This window comes from Homo sapiens, chromosome 21 (genome assembly GCF_000001405.40).
Source record: "Homo sapiens chromosome 21, GRCh38.p14 Primary Assembly".
NCBI lineage: Eukaryota > Metazoa > Chordata > Mammalia > Primates > Hominidae > Homo > Homo sapiens.
The window spans coordinates 25,773,355-25,783,661 of record NC_000021.9 but is presented as its reverse complement, the minus strand read 5'-3'; positions in this window follow the sequence as shown (position 1 = coordinate 25,783,661).

Genomic DNA, 10,307 nt, shown 5'->3' with positions numbered 1-10,307 from the left:
ATTTTGAGATTTCATAATGAGACTTGGGACAGATCAATGAAACAAGCTGGCCAATTAAGAAATATAAAGTTCTATTTAGAGGAACAAACTTGAGCACAAAGTAGTTTCTACAAAGTCATATACAAATCAAATATATTATGGCAAATAATTAAGCATTAAAGTAAAGGCGATTTTTCCTTTTGTGACTCTTGTTATCCAAATACGAATCACTGTGCTAAAGATACTCTATAGTACCAAAGCATGCTTCTCAAAAAAGTCACAATAATTGTCAGAAAGATATCTTAATATAAATTATTTTTAAATCGACAAAGGGACATGATTTATCTATCAAATGGATAAACATATGTGATTAATAAGATTTCTGATAGTTTTAACAGATTTCCTTTTATCATTTCCCAATGCTGTATTGATGCTGCCGATTGTTTTAGCAGATCCAAGTTTCCATGGAATTATATCTAAGAAACTGTAGGAAAAAAATGCAGTTCTCTAGTATAATAATTTTTCTTTGTCTATAAAATAAGTGATATAAGATGCTAACACCATGAATTTTGAGGACTAATGGCACAACTACAGTGCTGTATCCATTATAACACCTAAGGATTTTTATTTTGAGGAGGAGGCGGATGGAGTCTCACTCTGTCTCTCAGACTGGAGAGCAGTGGCACAATCTTGGCTCACTGCAACCTCCACCTCCAAGGTTCAAGCGATCCTCCTGCCTCAGCCTCCCGAGTAGCTGGGATTACAGGCATGCGCCACCACACCTCGCTAACTTTTGTATTTTTAGTAGAGACAGAGTTTTACCATGTTGGCCAGACTGGTCTCAAACTCCTGACCTCAATCCACCTGCCTCGGTGTCCCAAAGTGCTGGGATTACAGATGTGAGCCACTGGGCCCGGCCACAACTAAGGTTTGAAGATGCAGTGATAAACAAAGACAATATCAGGTCCTGAACGTCATGGCTGCTAATCCAGTGGAGGAGACAGCGCTAAGTGACCGTATTTCTAATGCACAAATCTGACCTGGGCTAATTATGGTTGATAAATAATGCTTCCAGGAAGAAGGAGCATGGAAACTGGAAGCTGGGTAAAGATAAAAACTGGCTCCATGCTTTCACACCACGCTAAGGAAATTGCACTTTTTTTCCAGACGGCAATAAGAAACTATGAAGGAGTTTTAGAAATAGGTTTGATGGAATCTCATTTCCATGTCAGTAAGCTGTGTTACCTTGTGGTAATTTGTGCCTAATGTTTCTTGTGAAGTGATTGCAAGTCTTGGGTTTCTACATATATGCATTACAGTTGCAGTTTCCACTTACTAAACGTTTTTCAGGAATACCACTCCTCTGTAATTTAGAGCTTAATTATAAACCTCTTTTCTTCCTTGGTATTCAAGAACTATGGGCTAGGCACATTGGCTCATGCCTTAATACTAGCACTTTGGGAGGCCAAGGTGGGAGGATCCCTTGAGCCCAGGAGTGTGAGACCAGGCTGGGCAACACAGGGAGAACCTGCATCTACCAAAAATTTAGAAAGAATTAGCCAAGAGTTGTAGCATACTCCTGTGGTCCCAGCGAAAGGCTGAGGTGGGAGGATCGCAAAAAAAATTATAAATGCATCTTTTTTGGGGGGGGCCAAACAGTATATATAATACTGCTAACAATTATGCTTATAATATTTTATTTAGGTACAACTTTTTCAGAAACACATTTGTTACATAAAGTGCCCATTTCATGAAAACAAATATGTATTCTTTACCTAGTGATGCAGTTTTAAAAACCTGCTATGATTTTGTAGGTGACATTGCCGCATCTGTGCTATTCTTTTAGGTAAGCTTCTTTATAATAGTTTTTTAAAAATGCACTATTTTATGGAAAATTTCACGCATACTCTGAACAGAGAGCACAGTATAATAAACCCTCATGTATCTACATGTAGCTACCACCCAGTCTGCTTTCAGCACATGGCCTTTGTGTGTGTGTGTTTTAATCTATAGTCCACCCACTGAAATATTCTGAAGCAAATGCTAGACATCACACTATTTCATCTCTAAGTACTTCAGTATGCATTTTTGAAAGATTAAAATCCCTTTCCTCCATTTCTCTCTCTTCTCTTTCCTTCCTTTCCTCCTTATAACCACAACACTATTATCACACCGAAAAAAAGAACAGCCATTCCTTAATATTTAAAAAAATACAGCGTTCAAATTTCCTTGATTGCCTCAATTTCTTTTATAGTTTATTGTAATCAGGATACAAACAAAACCACAGAATGCATTTGGTTGAGTGACACTCTTAAGTCTCTTTTAATCTACACATTTCCCTTTTTTTCTTGTAATTTTTTTTAACGTTATTTTCTTTTATATTTTTGTTGATTCTATCCATGTAAATGACAGTCTCTCTGTGTCCTATATTTCCTATGAACTGGTACTTACATCTGAGGAATTTATCAGATTTAGGTTCAGTTTATGTTTTGGCAAGAGTTGTCCCAATGCGTCATATTAGGAGGCATATGATTATCTGGTTGGCCTTTTTTTTTTTTTTTTTTTTTTTGAGATGGAGTCTCACTCTGTCGCCCAGGCTGGAGGGCAGTAGCTCTGTCTTGGCTCACTGCAAGCTCCGCCTCCCGGGTTCACGCCATTCTCCTGCCTCAGCCTCCCCAGTAGCTGGGACTACAGGCGCCCGCCACCACTCCCGGGTAATTTTTTGTGTTTTTAAAATAGAGACAGGGTTTCACCGTGTTAGCCAGTATGGTCTCGATCTCCTGACCTTGTGATCCGCCCGCCTCGGCCTCCCAAGTGCTGGAATTACAGAGCCACTGCGCCCGGCCCTGGTTGTCTCGCTTTTGGTGATACTAAGATTGATATATGTATTCAGGGATTGTGAGGCAAATCCATCCTTTACAAAGCGTCTAACTTTTCAGCTAGTGGTTTTAGCAGCTGTTGGTGATGATTGCCTAGAGCCATTATTTTACTAAGGGTTGGCTGTATGATAATGTTTAATAAAACTCCGTTGACTTATTAGAGATGAATACTACTTAAAGTAAAATTTGGTATAAGCTTCTCACTTTGGGTAAGACAAGTACAAGCCAGGAAAAATGAAAAAAATACTCAATGTTTGCAATTCTCATTTTTTAGACGTGTTAAACACACCTCCCTTTCATTGACTGTAGGTATTAACAGCTATATTCTGTTGAGACAGACTTGATCCTAATGAAAAGCCCACGCAGGGCTTCAAGCCTGGGTTGGCCCTTATGCAAGTGACTTCAGCCAAGTTGACTAATCCCTCTATGCCTCAATCTCTCCATTTATAAAACGGACAGTTATCTACTTCAAGGAGTTGTGAGAAATAAGTGAGAAGGCACATAAACGACTTGACATATCGTAAGAGATCAGAATTAGCTCTTATTCCTTACTCATTCATTCAACATGTTTTTTACGCTACTTTGTGATTTTCACCATTACGCGAGAGGAGCACCAATTTCAACCTAGAACACTGGATTCTTTGGAGGGAGGCTTTTCTTTCCTAGACCTTTACACTTATTTAGGAGCCTGCAAGATGAATTACATACTGAGTTCATTTAACCCTTCCAATGGCCCTGCACTGCAGGCAAATGTGTCAACGACCCCAACACAGGAGAGAGAAAATGGAGGTGAACAAAGGTGAAACAACTAGCTGTAAGTTTCGTATCTGGTTAGTGGGAAAAGGACCATAATCTGTTTCTTCTAGTTCTTTCCTTTGGCACGCCACTTTACATATCCTCCACAATGGAAGGTTATTTGTTTATACCTTTATTCTAGGTATTCTTTGTTTAATCAATTAGCTAATATATTTTATGCCAACAGGGCAGATTCTCACACTTAATTCTATTTAAAATATCCTCTACTTTTACGCCCGGCGCGGTTGCTCACGCCTGTAATCCCAGCACTTTGGGAGGCCAAGGTGGCCAGATCACTTGCCGGTCACTTTTAACTGGCTGACAGGTGCCCAGTATTTAGCCCCCGAATTCTAAGGAAAAATAGGACAGAATAGCAAGCAAAAGGGGTCCAATGGTACTCACTGCTTGGCGATAGGCGATGGTCTCACCGCTCAGCGACAGGCAAAAGTCCCTTCGTGGTCGCCAAAACGTGTCCGGAATTGGTGGGTTCTTGGTCTTACCAACTTCAAGCATGAAGCCGTGGACCCTGGCGGTGTTACAGTTCTTAAAGGCGGCGTGTCCGGAGTTTGTTCCTTCTGATGTTCGGATGTGTTCCGAGTTTCTTCCTTCCGGTGTGTTCATGGTCTACGCTGGCTCAGGAGTGAAGCTGCAAACCTTCAGTGAGTGTTACAGCTCTTAAGGTGGCGCAGCTGGAGTTGTTCGTTCCTCCTGGTGGGTTTGTGGTCTCACTGGCTTCAAGAGTGAATCTGCGGACCTTAGCGGTGAGTGTTACAGCTCATAAACGCAGCTGGACCCAGAGTGAGCAACAGCAACACTTATTGCAAAGACGGAAAGAACACACCTCCTCACACTACAGAAGCGGACCACAGCGAGTTGCTACTGCTCATTCGGGCAGCCTGCTTTTATTCTCTTATCTGGCCCCACCCACATCCTGCTAATTGGTCCATTTTACAGAGAGCTGATTGGTCTGTTTTACAGAGAGCTGATTGGTCCATTTTGACAGGGTGCTGATTGGTGCGTTTAGGAACCCTGAGCTAGACACAAAAGTTCTCCAAGTCCCTACTACATTAGCTAGATACAGAGTGTGGATTGGTATATTTACAAATCCTGAGCTAGACACAGAGTGCTGATTGGTGCATTTACAAACCTTGAGCTAGATACAGAGTGCTGATTGGTGTATTTACAATCCCTTAGCTAGACATAAAGATTAGCCAAGTCCCCACCAGACTCAGGAGCCCAGCTGGCTTCACCCAGTGGATCCCGCACCGGCTGCAGGTGGAGCTGCCTGCCAGTCCCACGCCCTGCGCAAGCACTCCTCAGCCCTCGTGCGGTCGATGGGCCTGGGCGCCGTGGAGCAGGGGGCGGCGCTCGTCAGGGAGGCTCGGGCCGCGCAGGAGCCCACAGAGAGAGAGGGGGGAGGCTCAGGCATGGCAGGCTGCAGGTCCCGAGCCCTGCCCCCGGGGAGGCAGCTAAGGCCCGCACGAGAAATCTAGCACAGCAGCTGCTGGCCCAGGTGCTAAGCCCCTCACTGCCTGGGGCGGCAGGCCGCTCTGAGTGCGGGCCCGCGGAGCCCACGCCCACCCGGAACTCGCGCTGGCCCGCAAGCGCCGCGGGCAGCCCGGGTTCCCGCCCGCGCCTCTCCCTCCACGCTTCCCCGCAAGCTGAGGGAGCCGGCTCCGGCCTTGGCCAGCCCAGAAAGGGACTCCCACAGTGCAGCGGCGGGCTGAAGGGCTCCTCAAGCGCGGCGAGAGTGGGCGCCAAGGCCGAGGAGGCTCCGAGAGCGAGTGAGGGCTGCGAGGGCTGCTAGCAGGCTGTTACCTCTCGCCAGCACTTTGGGAGGCCAAGTTGGCCAGATCACTTGAGGTCAGGAGTTCGAGACCAGCCTGGCCAACATGGTGAAACCTCATCTCTATAAAATACAAAAATTAGCCAGATGTGGTAGCTCACACCTGTAATCCCAGCTACATGGAAGACTGAGGCAGGAGAATTGCTTGAACCTGGAAGGTGAAGGTTGCAGTGAGCCGAGATCGTGCCACTGCACTGCAGCCTGGGCAACAGAGTGACTCTGTCTCAAAAACAAACAAAAATCCTCTATTTTTATGATTTGAGAGCTGGAGACAAGAATCCTAGTATGGAGTTCTTAATGCATAGCTTTTTCCTTTAACCATTAAGTCAAATGAACATTCTAGTTCAACTATTCAGTGATGTTTATCAGTGTATTAATATGCAATATGCCCTCTCATTCACAAAGTAAAACCAACATTAGAGATAGGAAGCTTACTTTCTCTATTCGTACTGTGAGTATTAGAGCAAACCTTTTTGCATAGTTTTCTAAGGAAGTGAATTAAAGAGTTGCTCATAGATATGATAAATAACTTTTTCTTCAGTGTTCTATTTCATTCATGTCTAGTTACTGTGGTGTTACCTATAAAAATAGCATAGGTGCTAACTGGGTGTTACTAGTATCATGGAAATAAGATTCCCAAATCAACTATCTTGTTAGCAGACATGAGAAAATGCTTTTCTCACATTACAGCCGGGCATGGTGGCTCATGCCTGTAATCCCAGCACTTTGGGAGGCTCAGGCAGGCAGATCACTTGAGCTCAGGAGTTCAAGACCAGCCTGGCCAACATGGTGAAACCCTGTCTCTACTAAAACTACAAAAATTAGCTGGGCGTGGTGATGCAGGCCTATAATCTCAGGTACTGGGGAGGCTGAGGCAGGAGAATCGCTTAAACTCAGGAAGTGGAGGTTGCAGTGAGCCAAGATCAAGCCACTGCGCTCCAGCCTGGGTAACAGAGTGAGACTCTCAGTCTCAAAAAAAAAAAAAAAAAAGGTTTACAGAGAAATTTTCAAATACCATTAACATTGCCATAATCGTTCAGTTAAAACTGATGCTCATCAGTTGATGAAATGTTGTAGATCAGTGTGGTCAGTCCGTGAACTGTTTGTCATCAGTCCACAGGGAGATAAGAGCAAGCATTAAAACAATTTTGATAATTTGATATAGCAATCTTATGCTTGTGGAATCTAATAATTTTTAAAAAGTGGTTATGTATTTTTGTCTTTTAAATTTCATTTCTCTAGTAATTCAGTTTTTAAGCTTATTGAGGTGAAATTTACATAACCCCATGCACCTATTTTAAGTATACATTTAGATGAGTTTTGACAAATCTGTTCATCCATGTAATCGTCAACAAAGCATAATATAGGCTATGCTCATCATCCTCCCAAATTTCTTTATGCCTAATCCAGGAAATCAACCATTATCCCTAGCCCTAGGCAACCAGTGATCTGCTTTCTATCCTTACAATGAGATTTGCCTTTTCCAGAGTTGTTGATGAGGCAGTTGTTCACTCCCTTTTATTGCTGAGTCGTACTTCTGTTCTATGGGTATTCATAATTTGTTTATTCAGTCACCTGCTGATGGATATTTGTGTTAACAGTTTGGAGACATTATGAATAAAGCTGTTATAAACATTCGTGTACAAGTCTTTCAGTGAACATATTTTATTTCTCTTAAATAAATGTCTAGGATTGGGCCAGCCACGGTGGCTCATACCTGTAATGCCAGCACTTTGGGAGGCCTAGGCGGGCAGATCACCTGAGGTCGGGAGTTCGAGACTAGCCCGGCCAACGTGGCAAAACTCTGTCTCCACTAAAAATACAAAAATTACCCGGACTTGATGGCTGGTGCCTGTAATCCCAGGTACTTGGGAGGCTGAGGCAGGAGAATCACTTGAACCTGGGAGGTGGAGGTTGCAGTGAGCCGAGATCGCACCATTGCACTCTAGCCTGGGTGACAAGAGTGAAGCTCTGTCTCAAAAAAATAAATACATAAAATAAATGCCTAGGATTAGAATTGCTGTGTCGTGACAAAAGTGTTTAACTTTTCCAAAGTAGTGTGCCATTTTACATTTCCACTAGCAATGTGTGTGACTTCATTTGGTCCATGTCATTGAGAACAGTTGGTATTGTGAGTCTTTTAACTTTTAGCAGTTGTAATGTGTTTTTAGTGGTACTGGATTGTGACTTGGTATTTCGTGATAACTAATAATGCCAAATAGCTTTTCATATGCTTACTGGCCATATGTATATCTTTTTTTATGAAGTGTCTGTACAAATCCTTTGACCATAAATTATTTGATTATCTTAGTGAGTTAAAAGAATTTATCATATATTTTGATATTAAATATCTTACCTTTGTAAGATATTAATATTGCCATAATCATTCAGTTACAACTGATGCTCATTGCTTAATGACAAAATATTATAAATCAGTGTGGTCAATACACTTATCTTACCTTTGTAACCTAGGTAAGATAAGTGTATTGCAAATATTTTCTTCCAATCTGTACCTTGTCCTTTATTTAATTTTCTTTTCTTTTTTTTTTTTTTTTTTTTGAGACAGGGTCTTGCTCTCTCACCCAGGCTAGAGTGCACTGGTATGATCATAGCTTATTATAACCTCAAACTCCTGGACTCAAACAGTGTTCCTGCCTCAGGCTTCTGAGTAGCCAGAACTACAGGTCCATGCTACCAAGGTTGGCTAATTAAATTTTTTTTTTTCATAGAGAGGGGGTCTCACGATGTTGCCCAGGCTGGTCTCAAACTCCTGGGTTCAAGCAGTCCTCCCCAGTCAGCCTCCCAAAGCAATGAAATTACAGGCATGTGTCACTACACCCAGCCTTGCCTTTTATTTTAATAGTATCTTTCAAATAACAGGTGTTTTAAAAATTTTTGATGAAGTCCAATTTACTGTCTTTTTTTTTTTTTATTAGATACAGCGTCTCACTCTGTCACCCCCAGACTGGAGTGCTGTTGTAGCGGCAGAATCATACCTCACTGTAACCTCAAACTCAACCTGCACTTGAACCTCGAATTTTAACCTGGGCTCAAGCAATCCTCCCTCCTCAGCCTTCTGAGTAGCTGGAACTACAGCCGTACACAACCATGCCCAGCTAATTTTATTTTAACTTTTATATTTTTGTAGAGATAGGGTCTTGCTATGTTGCCCAGGCTGGTCTCAAAACTCATGGCCTCAAGTAATCTTCCTGCCTCAGCTTTCCAAAGCACTGTATTTACAGGTATGAGCCACCACATCCAGCCTAGTTTTGCTTCTTTAATATCTAGGAAATCTTTATCTACCCCAAGGTTATGAAAATTCCTTAATAAGTTTTAGATTTTATATTTAGGTCTATAATCCATTGTTTTTATGTGTGGTATGAGGCAAGGGTTTTTCTCCATGAATATATGCAGTTGTTCTAACATTTGTTGAAATAACTACCCTTTCCCTATTGAATTACCTTGGCACCTTTGATTTTGGCACCAAAAATCAATGAGCCATATATGTGGGTCCATTTCTGGATTCTATTCTGTTCATTGACCTATATACATTTATCCTTACCTAAATACCACCTCTTGATTGCTGTAGCTTTATATAGCAAAGCTTTATATAGCACAGTGCAAGTTCTCTTTTTCCAAAATATTTTGGCTATTCTGTGTCATTTGTATTTACATATAAATTTTATAACTAGCTTGTCTACAAAAAAAGACTGGCAGAATTTTTGTTGTAATTCAATTTATAGGTCAATTTAGGAATAACTAACATTTACAAGATTTACATTTACACAATTGGGTCTTAGGCCAGGCACGGTGCTCACGCCTGTAATCCCAGCACTTCAGGAGGCCGAGCCAGGCAGATCACTTGAGGTCAGGAGTTCGAGACCAGCCTGGCCAACATAGCGAAGCCCCCAACTCTACTAAAAATACAAAAAATCAGCCAGGTGTCATGGGACATGCCTGTAATCCCAGCTATTTGGGAGGCTGAAGCATGAGAATCGCTTGAACCCAGGAGGCGGAGGTTGTAGTGGGCTGAGATCGCACTACTGTACTCCAGCTTGGGTGACACAGTGAGTGAGACTGTCTCAAAAAAAAACAAGAAAACCCAAAATTGAGTCTTCCAATCCAGAATTATGGTGTTATATCTCCACCTACTTAGACATTCTTTCATTTCTTTGCAAGTTCTATAGTTTTCATTGATAGGTCTTGCACAAATTTTGCTCTATTTGTCCCTATTTCACGTTAATATTATTGTAAATGGTGGTTTTTAAATATTAATTTCCATTTATTAGTTTCTAGCACGCAGAAATAAAATTGAACTTCGCATATTGACCTTGTACCTTACCTTGCTATATTCTCATAACTTTTGATTCTTGAGGCGTTTTAACATGTCTGATGCCTTCTGCAGTTTTATTTTTGCAGTATGTATGCTTTTTATTTTTCTTACCTTATTTCACAGACTAGGATACAATTCTGAATAAAAATTATAAAAGCAGGTACCTCTTTGCGTTTCCCAAATCTTGTGGGGAGGGGGGCGGAGTGGTGAGGGGCAACAAACGTGATGTTAGTTGTAGGTTTTTCCACAGATACCTTTTTATCAGGTTAAAGAAGTTCTCTAGTTTGCTGAGAGTTTTAATCATGAATGGATGTCAAGTTGTACATTTTTCTGCATCTATTGAGTTGAATGTGTTCCTCCCCCATTGTATTGTTAATTTGGTAAATACTGAATTTTTAAAATTCTTATAGTAATTCATTCTTTAAAAAAAAAACTCAACTGTGGTAAAATATACATAATATGAAATTTACCATCT